Source organism: Homo sapiens, chromosome 1, assembly GCF_000001405.40.
Source record: "Homo sapiens chromosome 1, GRCh38.p14 Primary Assembly".
Lineage (NCBI taxonomy): Eukaryota > Metazoa > Chordata > Mammalia > Primates > Hominidae > Homo > Homo sapiens.
In genome coordinates this window covers 76,068,069-76,084,376 of record NC_000001.11, presented here as the reverse complement: position 1 = coordinate 76,084,376, position 16,308 = coordinate 76,068,069, and the positions used below count along the sequence as shown (strand labels likewise).

The window sequence follows — 16,308 nt, the reverse complement described above, 5'->3', positions numbered from 1 at the left end:
TGCACAACATCTGGGGTAAAATTAGGCTCAGGATATGGTGAAACTGAGGACTGCATTTTCAGATAAAATTTCAAGGGCTCATCAAACGCTCAGATGTGTCCCTGAGTCAGGCACTCATTACTTGCTCATCAGTCGCCAGCCTTTGGCTGCCAGGAGTCCAGCCAACAGGTGTGTCCTCCCCATCTGAACCTGACCCAGCAGCCAATCCTTTCTGCAGCCCCTTACGCTACTCTCATTGTCTGAGTCTAGTGGTCTCTTCTGATAGTGAAGATGAATACCTGAAGGAGCATGCTGTCCAATACAGTAGCCACTAGCCACATGTGGCTTTTGAGCATTGAAACATGGCTGGCATAACCAACAAACCACATTTTTAAAATTTCATTTCATTTTAATTAATTTACCTTTTAAAAATAATGTTCCATTCAGCTACTGGAAAAGGTCTAAGCACAATTCAACTTAGACGAGTGAACCTACTTTTTTACTTTAAATTAGTAAAATCAAAATACAAATCAAATATTTCTGATGAAAAATTTAGAATTCAAACTGAGAGATGCTATAAGTGTAAAACGTACACCGAGTTTTAAGAACTGTTTGTAAAAAAAAAGATATAAATATCTCATTAATTTTTATATTGAGTACATTTTGAAATGAAAGTATTTTGGATATACCAAGTTAAATAAAACACATTATTAAATTCTACATGTTTCTTTTTTGCTTTTTTAAAATAATGGCTCTTAGGAAATGTACAATTGCATAAAAAGCCTACATTATATTTCTGCTGGACAGCACTGCTACAGACCATGAAATAAGGGTATTATTGTTTTATTCATATTAATCACAAAGCCAGGATGGGACTCAGAGTCGGTCTAGCTCTGACCTCTGCACCCCACAGTCTTCTTACTGCCCACACCCTAGAGAGCAGTTCTCGTGTCTCTTCTCTGGTACCACTTTCTCTGATAAGGCAAACGCTTCACAAAGAGAGACTTTCACTTCTCTTTCTTTCGAGTCCAGCCCATTGTCGCGGCCAGCCGCGCAGCAAACAGCACCAGGAATCACAGCCCTGCTCACCGCAAGTGCATATCCCACTAGTCCCAAATAGAGGGATCAACTCACGACAGTCATTTGCTCATTCTAGTTCTCAAAATCTAAGATGAGTATTGCAACCAGGTTTTAATCCCAGATCAGGACTCATTTCCAACCCAGAATATACACATTTTACTTCCAATTCCCTTGTGATCATGATCTTCTCAGAGCAAGATGCAAATCGTTTCCATAGCTGACCAAAGAAGTTTTTACTTCGTGTGTAGTAAATGCACAGCCAATAAATTCACTAAGAAACCAAATAGCCTTTGAAATCAGAGAGAAGTCCCTTCCAGAAAAGGATTTTACGTGCGATAGTTTTCAAATCTGAGTAAATATTAAGATAAGATTGAATGAATGTGCATGTATATTTATATTTGCTATGTGTGCACAGAGAAACACACCTTTAAAAAAAAAAACAAAAAACACGAAAACGACCCAAGTATCCTCTTTTTCTGGCCTCCGACAAATCTGTTTAGGAGTAAATTCTCCCTCACTCTCTCAAGTACCAGATGTTGTTGGCCCCCACACCTCCACATCACACAGGAAATGAAAGAGAGGCCTGGAGATATGGAGTGTGGGGTAAGGGGCTTCTCAAAGAATGTCACCTACCCTAGGGCTGCTGTTTATTAAAGTCTCTTAATATCCCAGGCCAAGGTCTCTGACTTAGTGACTTTAAATCAGTTTACAGTCAGAACCAGAGCCTAGTCTCAATTTTTGAATTGAGAGAAACAGCAATAGAGAAAGCGCAGATAATCCCTTCACCTCATTTGAACCTTTTCCTAGGCCCACTCTCCTGCTGACAAACCTTTACAGAGCTGCTAACAAGGAGAGAAATTAACAAATTTGGGGTTTAGCACCCCCTTTTTTCTCTGCTCAGGTGAAGGCGCTAATTGGCAGTAAAAGGCATAAAACGTGTACATCAGAATGGCTGGAGGCAAATGGGGTCTGGATAATCCATAAACTGAATAATGAGCCTTTTAATAACCAGGAGCTAACTGCAGCTTTTGGTAATGGGATCCAGGTAGCACTTGTAAATCTACTCCCTCCAATTAGAAAAATGCCTTCCTCCACTGTTCCCTAAAGCCAGGAAACAGAAAAGAACCTCATTCAACTCCCAGCCCTCAGGCATAAGTGTGTGTTAAATTCTTACAAACAGAAATTTTTCTCCTGGGGAGAAGCTTTCATAACTTCGCTCAGTCGTTTACTAGAAAGCTTAATAGGCTTCCCTGTTTTCCTCAGACCTAAACCCCTTCTTTCTCCCACTAGTCCTTCAACAAAGGTTTCCTCGATTCCAGCTATTATCAGTACTAATAATACTAATAACGTTTTTTGCCATTTCCACTTCATGCCTATGCAGTGCACTCTGCTTTGCAAAGTGCATTCACAAGCATTATCTCTTTGGTTCTCCAACACCACCCAAGGGACAGATCTATGTTGGGGAGCCTGAAATGTATACGATTTGTGGGATTCCTTGATAAAATGAATATAAAATTATAAATACCAAAATGCTAGTGTCTCTTCCCAGAACCTTGGAAGGGCCCTGAAGCTTGCGTTCAGGGTAAATCCAACTCTCCCTCACTCCCACCCCCAAAAAGGACACATAGGTTCACATAACTTGCCCAGGGTCAAAGATCTATTCAGAATTAAACAGAATTAAAGCCTTCTTATCTCCTCAGTCTTTGCAGCCCCTCTAGTTCCTCTAGTTCTTCTGTCACAAAGGAAACTTAAAGGAACAAATAAAAACGACACAGCTAAAAGTGGTCCCCATCAGGCCACCAGATTAGGAAGTTGTCTAGACTGGATATTGTCTGGGGTAGAAGATGGTGAAATAAATTCAGAATCCCTATAAATATTTACTAAATTGGCACTGAAGGTAAAAGACAAGCTCTATAGCTTGTCCAACCCGCAGCGCAGGACAGCTTTGAATGTGGCCCAACACAAATTTGTAAACATTCTTAAAACATTATGAGATTTCTTTTGCGATTTGCTTTTTTTTTTTTTTTTTTTTAGCTCACCAGCTGTCATTCGTGTTAGTGTATTTTATGTGTGGCCCAGACAATTCTTCTTCCAATGTGGCCCAAGGAAGCCAAAAGTTTGAACACCCCTGCTTTACAACCACACGAAGTCAGGGTGAACCCCACCTCCATCACTTACTGACCACAGGACATCGGACAATTTACTTAGGTTTTCTGAACTTCAGTGTCTTCATTTGTAATAAAAGTTTACTTAGCACAGAAGCCAGCCTGAGCACTCTGGCTGTTCAATAAATGGCACCTATTGTTGCTGTTGTTATCAATCCATCCAAAGAGCACTACTTTTACCCAAGCCACTCATTCCCCACAATGTGCTGATATACGTAGCAAAAGCATCTGCTCAGTCACTGTAAGACTGGAAATTAGGCCAGGCAGCTGCTGAGAATTCAGCATTTCCTGGGCAGCAATAAGAAATGTCATAGCAGATTTATTAAATGAAGTGACTTGTCTACTTGCCAGGGTTATCCTACGGTTTCAGATTTATCATCTGTGTACCTGTGAAGTCCCTGTGGCTTTCCAGTCTCAGTGAAGCCATACTGTTTTCAAATGCTTTGAGACCTCATCGTTTGAGAACCACACAATCATTTGGTTGTGGGTGTTTGGTTTTTGATTGTTTTTTTTTTTTTTTGGTTTATCTGTTTCTGTTAATCTGGGGAACCAAAATGATCATGACAAAAGTTAAACCACGCCTACACTTCTCTTTTTCCCTCCTTCTAGTCCAGTTCTCTCATCTCCCCATCCCCCCAACCCCAGATCTTAAATTGGCCCCAGATTTTATATGAGGAATGGTAACAGACCTACCTACAAGAAACATACTAAGAAAAAATTTAAGGAGCAAACTAATCAACAAGCTCTAATCTGCCTGCTATACATTAGAGTAAAAAATCCATGCCACATCCTTGAAATGCTCAGCTGTTTTCAGAAGACAGGTTGGACCTGTGTCTATAACTGACATAAAAAAAAATTAATAACACCACTGATACATTCAGCAAACACTTAAGGATCACCTACTGAGAGCCAAGCTAGTTCTTAGAAATACCAAGTTGAATAAAACAAAGCCTTTTCTGCCTTTTACATTCAGTTCAGTAACCGTCAACACCCCACCCATATACTCCCATACCATGAGGTGTAATTTTCAAACTCCTCGCATACTTTTAATTACTAGTTTAATTATTTGCCTTCTCACTGAGTCTATAATCTCACTTAGGGTAAGAACAGAACTCAATTACAGATGCTCAGTAAACACTGGAAGGCCGCGGCTCCCTAACATTTGATAGTCAAAGAAGAGCTGGGCATGAAAGCAGTTTATTGACAGTACATGGTAATACCTGCTACTACAGGGACAAGAACTAAGACCACAGGAGCACAGAGGAAGCCTGCTGAGGCAGGGGATGGCCTGACCACAGATGTGACTCTAAAGTGGGAGTTGAACAAGGCAGGGGGAGTAAGGATGGAAAGTAAGGGGCAGAGTTGAGAGGTTTTCCTGAGACAGAACTGATGCACTGTGGAGAAGGATTAGATCTGGGGCAGGGGGAGGAAGAGGAAATGAGAAGACGCCAAGTTCCTAACTTGGTATCATCATTCATCTAATTACCTATCAATCAAGATAAATATATGAGGACAGGTCACTGGAGAGAAGGTAATTGTGGCTTAGTCATGCATCTATCGTATCAGCTAACTGCTTCATGTTCATAAGCCTCATCAACCTGGCAAAACCATAATCTTCTCGAAGGCAGAAATGATTCTCAAGGATCTTGTGTCTACATGTCCACTCAATGTCCACTTCCAATATAAAAGTTAATACAATTCACCTATATTTTTTAAAAATGAAAGTGTACAAGACACTGTGCTGAAAATGTACCTGCTGACCAAGGGTAGAAATCATAAAAGAAAATATGGATAGATTTTCTTGCATAAAATTTTAAAGTATCTATAATTTATAAAAGAAGAAAGACAAATGACTAATACAAATTTAAAAGCTTAACTTCACTAATGATCAAATAAATACAAATTAAAGCAAAGAGTTTTCCTGTCTATCAAATTTGAGAGACTTTTTAAACAACCCCACGAGATCTTCCCTGTAATCTGTCTCCTGGAGCTGCTGAAAACAGAGAATCTGACAAGGGCTCTGGGGCCCAAGAAGACATCAGAGCTGCTTAATGAAAAGAGACTGGTCCTAGGCCAGGCACGATGGCTCATGCCTGTAATCCCAGCACTTTGGGAGGCCAAGGCACACAGATCACTTGAGGCCAGGAGTTCAATACCAGCCTGGCCAACATGGTGAAACCCCGTCTCTACTAAAAATACAAAAAATTAGCCAGGCATAGGGGTGCATAGCTGTAGTCCCAGCTATTTGGGAGGCTGAGGCACGAGAATTGCTTGAATCCAGGAGGCAGAGGTTGCAGCGAACCAAGATCACGCCACTGCACTCCAGCCTGGGCAACAGAGTGAGACTCTGTCTCAAAAAAAAATAATAATAATAAAGAGACTGGTCCTTGAGTTGATTCTTTATTCAATGGTAGAGCTACACAGGAGAGCTGCCTAACCAGGAGCATGGCAAGAAATGAACCTGCTAAGATTCAGAGTTTCTTTTTTCCCCCTGCAATATAACTAATATACAGATTATCTCATTTAACCTTTAGAATAACCCATTGAGGAATGCATGATTCCCATTTTGGAAACTGAGGTAGTGAAATCAAGAAACTTGTTATGGCTCTATAATCAATAAGGAGTGGAGCCATAATTAAAAGTCACATATTTCTGGCTTTAAAGTCCAGGCAATGTGAAGTCTGAATTCCTAAATTAAATGATTATGAAGTGATCATCGTTCTGTTACGAGAACTAGCGCTATGCATTGGCAGAATGGGCCCTCAGCATGCACAGCACCTTGAGGGGATAGTTCCATATCCCCTAAAAGACCAAAATTAGCTGCCACAGCATGGGGGTCTCTTCTTAGTGAGGGTCACTATTGTGTAGGCAATAATGATACTTTAATCAATATCTCTCTATCTCAGTTTTCTCATTTGTAAAAATGGATAGTAAAATCTACTGCAAAATTCATTGAGAAGATTAAAGTCTTAGCCCACAGAACAAAGTTGGCACTGCCTCAAAACTTATCTTTCTAAAACACGAGCTCCGTCATAGTAAATCCTATTTAGTCTTCAAAACACAACTCCAATATCATCAGTGGGAAGCCTGTCTGAACTACCCAATGACAGGGGTAATTGCTCTCTCCTTCCATGCTTCTACTATGCCCTCCATGGACCTATGTAGTTTTATTCTTCACATTGTAACCTAAGCACTCATTTACTTTTCTATCATCCTTACTAAACCATAAGCCATTTGAGAATGGGGTCAATGGTTTATGCATCTTGTGATGTAAAAGGAATCAGAACAGGCTACCCCAAAATATATCACTTTGGCATATTGATTATTTTGAGCTAAAGGCAATTGAGAAAAAGCAGATACAGGAAGGGCTTTCTGACCTCCCCATTTCTACCTAAAAGCAAGGCATAAAATTTCCCATGAGAAATGTCCCTTCCCTGTGCCAGGAAGAGGAGAACATTCTTATGATCAAAGATGGAGAGTCAACACCAAAATAAATCTCTAGTAAAAACACTCACCTATTTTCCATTAGTTTTCCCCATACATTTCCCACTTTCTCACAATCGACTGCCCCAGCCCAAACCCCCTTTTTCCTTTGTCTTGTCACATTTCCACAATTTATCCTTCTCTATTAAAATGCTTTATAAACTCTCAGGCCTCTCCCCTTCTTCGGGTCTTTATTTCTTATATAGGAAGCCCTCTGTGGTACACATAAAAACATTAACATCAAATAAAATGTGTATGTTTTTCCTCTGTTAATATGCCTTTTGTCAGTTTAGCTATCAGGACCAGGCACAGAAACTAAGAGGGCAGAGGAAAATCTTTCCTTTTCTACATATGCCAACACCAAGTCCAGGGTCAGCAAATGGCAGAAAATATTTCATTAAAAAAAAAAAAGTCCATAGTTTTATCCTCATAAAAACCCTGTAACGCAATGGTTATAATTCTATGAACACTTCAACAAGGGAAAACTGAGGCTCCAGGTTGCAGCAGCTGTCTAAAATCATATGCAAGAAGCCAGGCTTGCACTGAACTCAGGTCTCTGGACTGAAACCTGTATTCTGCACTGCTCCATGTGTAGCTTTTCAAAGACAACAAAGAAAAAAGATCCAGCCCAGACTGTCTAGACCATGACCAGAGAAGGGGATTGCTCAAAGGTGCTCAAAGGTGGTTGGAACTGAATGGTATTAGGCCATCTTAAAAGTCATCACCTGGGAAAGTACTGGAACAGCAGTAAAGTATATGGAAGGTTGACATATCTGGGTCTAAATCCAGGATCACTCTGTCATTAACCCTGTGTGGCCTTGGGCAAATCTCTTAAACTAGGGAGCGTCAACTTTCTCATCTGTAAAATGGGGTTTAAAACAATGATACTTATCTTTCAGGGTTTTATGTAAAGATTAAAGAATAAAAAACATTTTGTATTTTATAAAAAATAATAGTTATAAGAAACAGACTGAGGATATAGTAAGGATCAACCAAACTGCACTTATTATTATATGTTAGAGGAAAAAAATGGCACATATTAAATGCCTGTGCCACAAAGTATTTTTCATACCCTATCTTATTTCATTCCCACAGCAACCTTGTGAAGCAGGTGCCACTACTTTGATCTTATATTGAAGAAACTAAGGCCCAGAGACATTTAAGTAACTTGTCCAACATCACAGAGGTAGCAGTGGGCAGAGCCAGCATCCAGACATATCTTTCTGAGTCTAAAGCCCACATTAGTTTCAGTGGAGGGAAGATAAGGTGGACAGATATGTCCCAAATGTCTGAAAGCAGTGTGAAGTGCTAGAAGAGAAAGATTGGACCAGATTCATGTGTAGTTTGGGATGTGCATTAAAGATGTTTACCACATGTATAGGACAAGGCAGGGGAGAAACCAAAACAGAAAAAGATGGCCAGCAATAAATATCATGCTCCTCAATGTCCCTTTCAGCAAATAACACAATGAATAGTAAAGATGACTCATATTCATATTTCAGTCCTTGTGCTAAGAGCCTCCCGGTCAAATACCCCATACTGTAATACTGATGTATTATTTCCTCATGTCCTGGAAAATGTTCTGAAACAAAAAGAGGAAGTTCAGAAAGCTCACAGGAAACTTCTGATCTCCTTTACGCAAAGAAGGGGAAACAACTTCTACGAGGTTAGTCTCTTATTTTCATCATTGACACCAGGCACGTTAGAAGACGATTCAGGTAACCAGAACACAGTAGATGACTTAATATCATCTTATAGAGAAATAAATGCTACTTCACAATAACACAACAACAACGAATTGTTTCCTGGTATTTTCCATCGTCACACAGTTCCCCCAGGCTTGGACAACTAGGTCTCTGCATTCTCCAGTCAAGGCCCAGGAAACTTTCATGCTGTTCATGTTTTTGATTCATGCATCCAGGTTATGTTCTTGTAGAAAGGTAGTGCAAAAAAAAAAACGAGGGCAGGGGAGGCCTCTACCAGTGGGATGGAAAGTTCTTTTTAAGTGAGGCCCTCACACCAAGTTCTCCCACCTGAGGCCACAAGTCTGTGAACCCAGAAAGATGCTCAGGTGAGGCTAAGAATCCGGTCTTGGAGAAAGAAAACTCAACAAAGAAGGGATGGCTGAGCGCACTCTGGCAGAGCATAAAATCATTTTGTCTATTCAAATTTATGAGCATAAAGAGAGTGAGAGGTTCTCTACTAACATATACATCCTCGTGTGAACTTTTCCAAAGTAGAGCTAAGGGCAAACAGAGCTAGCAGATCTCATAGAAAACTCATTCCTAAGGGACTACCTGTAAACTCAGAAGTTTCTGTCTTCACATGATCAAATGCACAGTAGAGCCCACCTCCGCTCACTCTTCCCTCCATTTAAAGCGCTATGCCCCTCACCACCAGCAACTCACGCCTAGCCACTCCACCCCTCCCCGTGGCCCCTGAAAGGCCTCAGGCTCCACAGAGCCGCGGGACCCGCGGGAACACCCCTCCTCTCCCTACCATCCCCATTATTCGGCACACAGCCCTGCTCTCCCCTGGAGCCAACAGTCTGCAGCTCCTTCAATGCAGGCGCGAGCAGGAGGCAGGAATGGTGGGAAAAGAAGCTGTGCCAGCTGCATGTTTCAGAATCTCCCTCCATATGCATTTGCCAAAGGAACAAAAAGAAAATCAATGCCAGGAAAAGACAACTGAGATGAGGATGCGGTGGGACCGCGGCTGACTCCGTGCCTCTGAGCAGCAAGGGGCTGGCCAACCACGCGTCCGAGCCACAGATCCAAGTCGTTACCTTCAGGATGCAGGCCATGGCGCTCCGCCGGCCCTCCTGCCACCGAGCAGCGGGCGCGCCTGGGTCAGGGGCAGTCCTGGGGGCAGGCTGGAGGCTGGTACCACGGCAGGACCTCTCCAGCCCACATTCCCGCAGATCCAAATAAGGGGACCGCGGTGTAAGCTGCGCCGCCACAGACCCCGCCCCCCGAGCCGCGGCCCCGCCCCCGTCCCCATCCACTGGCCCGCGGCCCGCGCGGCCCCGCCCCCGGGTCACGTGCCGTCCTGGGCGCCGGCGCCGGCGGCTCCTCAGTGCCTGCTACTTCTTTCTCTTGTTTTCTTCTGTGAACCTTTCGCGGCTCGACGTGCGCAGAGTGCGCTCTGCAGCAGGCGGGGACCTGGGTCCCGCGGGGGGCAGAGTACGGCCTTTTCTTCTCGGTTCCGTCTCCTCTCACACATCAGAGAACTCCTTTTTACAGACGTTTCACACTTTGTCAAAGTTGAGTGGGTTTGGCATCGCCCTTCTGGAGACTTTGGGCACATCAAAGGGCTTTTCAAAAGTAGCAACGAAGTTCTCCCTGGGCTGTTCAAGGATTGAGCCTTCACTCTGTGATGGGCTTATCTAAAATTAATAATTTACCGCTAATAAGTGAGCACAAATATCAACGAAAGAAAGACGTCATGAACCTTACACTCTGTATGGTATATTTTGTGTGTGTGTACATATTTTACATATACATGTATGTGTGTATAATATATAAATTATTGCCTTTTCCTGGTACAAGCTTGTTTATGAAATTGTATATGCATGATATACAGTATACAGATACAGGATGCACACATGTGTATATTGTATTATATATGTACATGTTGATTGTACAGTATATGTTTATAAACTGTGTATGTGTACATGATAGGACTTTGCTCTTCCCTGCTCCAAGCAAGAGCCGGCTAAGAGAAGCAGTTATTTCTACAAGGAGAGTAAACGCATTGCAGAAGGGAGAGAGCATTCCGTGTACACACACAGATTTTTACCACTTGGTCTGTCAGAAAAATTTTAAAAGCGGCCCCCAAATATCTACCCAAAAGAAGTTTCACTTGCTAGAAGCTCCGTCTAGTTTGCCTCCATGGAATCAGGAAAAGCACTGTGGGCTGGTGGTGTCATGAGATTGGCTCACAAACCACAAGGCAGAATCCAGGCTTTCAAGGAATTTGGTATTTTCTTGATGAGAACATGCAGAATTCTTAGAGAGCAGGAGTAACCACAGGAAGGAGGTTGCAGAAGCTGAGCCTGTGGATGAACTGCCTGTCCCATGGGAAGCTCCTGTCTTCAGTCTCCCTGGAATACCACACCCTGCTCTTCGACTTCTTCCTCCCGCCCCTCCCTCCTCTGCCTTACAGATCCGGTGTGTTTTTAGTAAGAATTCTTTGTTTGGGACTATATACTTTAAACCGCTGCTTTAGCTCATGGTCCTTCATAGGCCAGGAAAATTCAGTATTTCATTCATTTACTCATCCCTTGATTGATTCCACAAACTTTTTTATTGAGCCACTACTAAATGGAAGAATAAACTTTATTCACCTTCCACTAAGTGGAGGAAAAATCTTTATTGAAGACCTTTCAGGGATAGGAGAATGACTTTCAGAATATCTAACATCAAGGTGGGCTCACAGTTAAGTGAGAAAGACAAGAATAAGAGATACATGATACTATAACATGGAAAGGGCCTTAGCCAAATTGGAAGCAAAGATCTCAGGAAGGAGAAAGAGAAACACCTGACCGTCCCCCAGCCCGACACCCGTAAAGGGTCTGTGCTGAGGAATATTAGTAAAAAAGGAAGGCCTCTTGCGGTTAAGAGGAAGGCCTCCGTCTCCTGCATGTCCCTGGCAGAACAGCAGAGCAAAGGGGTGAGGGTGGGCAGAGCACATCGTTCTCTCTAGAAAGTCTGTACATCTGGAAAGAGAAACAGCAGGCCCTAGTGAACAGCCCTGCTAAGTACTTCCCTGCTGGGTGTCCTTGATCAAGTTTCTTAACCTCTCTTTAATCCTTACCTTATCTAATATTATCTATCCTCAAGAGAATTAAATGAGATAATAATGTTTGCAAATTGCATTTACCTCAATTTCTGGCACTATGAGCACTTTTTATATGATAGCTCTTTATGTAAAGAAAAAAATCTTCCGCTAAAGACAGACTTGTGGGAGAAGATGAATAGGATAATTGCCATCAGCCTTGGGTGTCTCAGGAGGATGAACACCAACGGAGCAAACTTTTAACATGTTATGACTTGGGTATGCCGTGATGAGGCCTTTACTAATTCCCTCAATCTACTTGGATATGGCTTTCTCAATTACATTTCTATCCACCCATGTCCATACTTCCCAAGGTGTTATTTTTTTTATTAACATCCAAAAGTTATGTCAAACAGCTAGAAATAAAGGCACATTTATAACAATCTAAAAACAAACTCAAGTTCTAGAATAAATCTGGACTGGAAGATTTACAAAACAGTATTAACAATCACTGTTTTAGATGGACCACTCGATGTCTGGGGGTGGGGGGGAAGCTTTTGGATGGAAATAAAAACAGGTTTTGAACCTACCAGGGAATGGAGATAGCCAGATTTGTTGGGGCTGGGAGGATAGGAGTGTGTTGCCAGGATTTTTTTGTTTTAAAACTGGCCAAACTACAGGAACAGCTTAGTCAAATCCATAGGTGTAGCATAATTTTCCAGCTCTAACATTATGTGACTTAAAGCCAAGAGTTTCTATTTCCAAAAATAATAATAACAAAATGGAGCATCCTGCAATTAAAGAAAGTATCTCATTTGATCCTCACAACATCCACATGGATGTTATCATCCCCAGCTGGTAACTAGGGGAACAGGGGTTTGAATCTAGGGACTTGTGGGTTTGCCATCTTAACTGCTACATTCAGCTGTCCAGTATGTTAGAAGCCCAATTTCTGTCATTTGTCACTCTTCACATTTCATCTGTTGTCTTAGTGTAGCCATAGGAAAACTTAGGGTAAGTATGAATCCTCCCCGGGATACAGACTAGGATACAAAACCTAGGGTAAATATGTGAGTATGCAGAGGATAGGTACACTCTATCAATCTGAGTGTACCGGATACATACACTCACCCTGTATTTTTCAACCCTCAGCCCCTGGGTCATACCTTAACAAAGACCCAGCACTTCTCATCAGTCTCTCACCAACCAAGCTGTTACCACCTTCTGTGCATGAGAATGACTTCCAATCAAAGATTCTCACTGCTGCATCTCACCTACTACGTGGGGGTGCCACAGAGCAGCCTGCCAGCCTTTGCTTCCTTTCATGGAGAGATCCTTGGACCTGGCCCTTTCACTACATCAGCCTCCCTAGGGCTCTTCTTGGCTTCCTGGTCCACCTTCCCTCTCCTCAGAGGCCTTTCACTAGTGAGATTTCACCATGCCTCAAGGTGGAGACTTCATGAGTTATGACAAGTCATGGGTGAATATTTGCTATTTAAATTCAGTTTTGCCTCATTGTAAACAGCCCCATTACCCAATAATTCTCAGAGTTATAACATACAGTTAGTTCCCTGATAGAAATAGAATTAACATGCTGACTCTCATAACTTTTCCAATTTCAGCCTGCACACATATTAATTTAATATATTTATATGCAACACAGAGTCATTTATTAAGATTTTAATTGGATCTCAATTTTTCCAATCTAAAGATTTTAAATGAATTCCAGATATCATAAAACTCTTTGTCATCCACTACATAAATTATGCCTCCATAGGAGACTGTGACTGGAAGATCCATTAGAAAATGTTATGGGAAAGTCATTTTTTTTAACATTCTGAGCCAGGATAGGAAATGATCTTCTTTTTCTAGAAATCATTGCACTGTTATAATTGTGACCTAGGAAATTTTTCATATCCTAAAGCAGGCATCTAGCTGTCCAGGTCCACACGTGTGTCTGTAGCTATGTTTAACTGCATCTTGGCTATGCCCTTTTAGGTAGCTGTTTATGAGAATACACTGACATATGGGGTTAAGCTTCATTTCTCTCCTTTTCGATAGTAGGACATTCCAAAATGTCATCCAGTTTGCATTCCCAAGACTTGAGCTTACTGCTATTTCAAACCTTTGCACAGTTCTTCTAATCCAGAATTCGTCAACATCCCTGACTATACTGATACTTATCTGGGATGAACTCCAAGACAAGTTACGCATGATTTAAAATTGCATTTTTAAAATATTATATATTTTCCCATTCAGTAACATTCTCCCTTAACTTCATCTCAGCTCTACCTTTCCCTATTGGAAGTTTCCATTTTTTTTCAAATGAACCAATTAAGAAAAGCTGTTTTTAATTTTTAAAAAATCCAAAACTAATGTTGTTTGCCTACTTTTCATTACCTAGAAGAATGTAGTTTTTAGCCTGATTTGTTTTTCTTAAAGAGTTTTCCTCTAAGTTTTTTTTTAAAAAAAAAAACATAATCAATTAAAAGTAAATATGGACTGGGCACTGTGTCTCACGTCTATAATCCCAGAACTTTGGGAGGCCCAGGCAGGCATATCACCTGAGGTCAGGAGTTCAAGACCAGCCTGGCCAACATGGTGAAGCCCCGTCTCTACTAAAAATACAAAAATTAGTCGGGTGTGGTGGCGCACACCTGTAGTCTCAGCTACTTGGGAGGCTGAGGCAAAAGAATTGCTTGAACCTGGGAGGCAGAGATTGCAGTGAGCCAACATCGTGCCCCTGCACTCCAGCCTGAGTGACAGAGCTAGACTTCATCTCAAAAAAAAAAAAAGAAAAAAAAAGTAAATATGGCTAGAAGCACTGGCATATAGTTTGAATTTAGTTTGTATTGGATCTCTCCAAGGCTGTTGAAGCCTCCATTATTAATTGAGTCTGATATTTCTTAACCATGTTTCCCAGAGTTTGTTTCCTTTTTATTGTGAGGTTCCTCTCATGTGTGTTTCTCTACACTCTTCTTGGATTTCTCCTCTCAGTGAGGCCTGGTTACATGCTGCCCTAAAAGATTAGAATGGAAAGTTGGTATTTGAAATGCATCCATGCAGGACTGATGGGAACACCCAGGGGAGAGGGCCTAACAGTTGGGGTTCTGCTGCAGTTTATTTTGCCTGAACCATTTTTTTCCTCTAATGGTCTAGCCCTCACAAACCCTCTGGAGAGAGCTATGATTTTTGCTAATTCTTCGTGTCAATACCATCCCCTTCCAGGAATCTCCCCGAACCCTCCTGTTTGTATCTATTTCTGAACTATTGTAGAAAAGGTAGAAGAAAAACATCATCCAATGCAAAGAAAAAAGGTCCAAAAAGAAGTCACCTGAATACATTCTCACACAACCCCTGAAACACAAGGTATTGTTATTGTGCCCAACAATGTCAATATGTATCAAGCTGCTCCCAGCACACCTGCGTGAAGGTGGAACAGACAAACGTAAAGGGGAATGTCCCCTGTGGAAAAGCCATTCATTCTTTTCAAGAGCAACAGATATAAAGCAACAAGTGACTTAGGAATCTGAAAATCCTGGTTCATTTGTTGGTTTAACAAACATTTGCAAGCCCAGGTGATGTGTATAGGAAGCAGAAACAATTTGTGAATGGGCTTCCTCCTATAGTCAAAACTTTCAGTGGCCTCTTGATACATTTATAGGCCTGCCAACATTGTCTCCTTAATCATTGCACGTTATTCTCTTACACCAACAGTTGGCAAGCTTTGTCAGCAAAGAGCCAAGTAAATATTAGGCTTTGCAAGCCATTTGGTCTCTGTCACAACTATTCAACACTGCCATTGTAGTATGAAAGCAGCCATAGAAATAAACAATGGGCAGTGTCTGTGTTCCAATAAAACTTTTTTATGGACACTAAAATTTATATTTCATGTACTTCTCAGTGCTATGAAATATTATTCTTTGTTTTTTTAACTATTTAAAAATGTACAATCCACTTTTGGTTCTGCAGATATAGAAAAACAATCTGCAGACCCAATTTGGCCCACAAGCAGTAGTTTGCCAACCTCTGTCTTGATCTTCGCATTCTTTACTCAGCTAGATTTCACCATCCTTCAATCCCAGATCAAATCCCATTTGGCTCTTGATGCCCTTTCAGACCACCCTAGTCTAGTGTAGTTTCTCCTCTTTGAATTCCAACAATTACTGTTTGCAAAATTCTTTTGGCAATGAGTCACATCCTATCTGGTGGAAGTTTTTTCCAGTGTTCACTTGACCTGTTATCTACTTTTTTTATTATTATTTTTAGCCTTACTTCCCTAATAGATTGGAAGCTTACTGGTTTCTTCTTTTTCTTTTCAGCCTTCACCTTTTTGTGCCCCTAGCAAGGAAATACAGTACCTTACATGCTCAGTTAATGCTGATTAATCTGATTTGATTCATTCAACTCTGAAGAGATAACTAAGAATTCCAGATGAAAGATGCTAGCAACCATAAATGTATGAAATTGAAAATCAGATTGTCCTACCATTCTGAATGCTGCTCAAAGGTTTTGGGTAAGAAACTTTGGATGTGTTATTACTTCCTTCATCACATATGATATTCTCAGATCATTTTATATTTCTCTATAAGGCATTTTCTACTTTTTAATCATCAGACTGATTACTTGATTTGGATGGATTTTGAGTTCATGTTTAATGACAAGAGTGGCCTGTGATTATCCCTATGGCTGTTCTCAGTTGATTGAGAAATCAGTGATGCTTTTCTTCTAAGTGGAAGCTACCTTCTTTATATCATGATTTTTTAAAAAATCACTGTATGTAGTACTTTTTAACCAGCCATGGTGCATTGTGTTTATTTGATAT

The 16,308-nt window shown here is 41.2% G+C and overlaps 1 protein-coding gene across 12 annotated transcripts in view, besides 1 other annotated feature; it reads right to left on the bottom strand.

Annotated features, from left to right (window-relative positions):
- The window catches only part of ST6GALNAC3 (ST6 N-acetylgalactosaminide alpha-2,6-sialyltransferase 3), a 562,594-nt gene extending 552,963 nt beyond the window's left edge, over positions 1 to 9,631 (bottom strand). For all 12 annotated transcript variants that reach the window (NR_146056.2, NM_001349109.3, NM_001349106.2 and 9 more), the window contains exon 1: positions 9,493 to 9,631. Coding sequence is in view for 8 of the 12 variants with exons in the window: in NM_001349109.3 (NP_001336038.1) it covers positions 9,493 to 9,510 (18 nt within the window). In the remaining 4 variants the exon portion in view is untranslated. The remainder of the gene's footprint in view (positions 1 to 9,492) is intronic.
- Positions 9,631 to 9,830: a silencer, noted in NCBI's record as "silent region_999". NCBI's record gives its function as "represses an Ori minimal core promoter by ATAC-STARR-seq in GM12878 lymphoblastoid cells {active_cell/tissue: GM12878}" and the evidence as "EXISTENCE:reporter gene assay evidence [ECO:0000049][PMID:35858748]".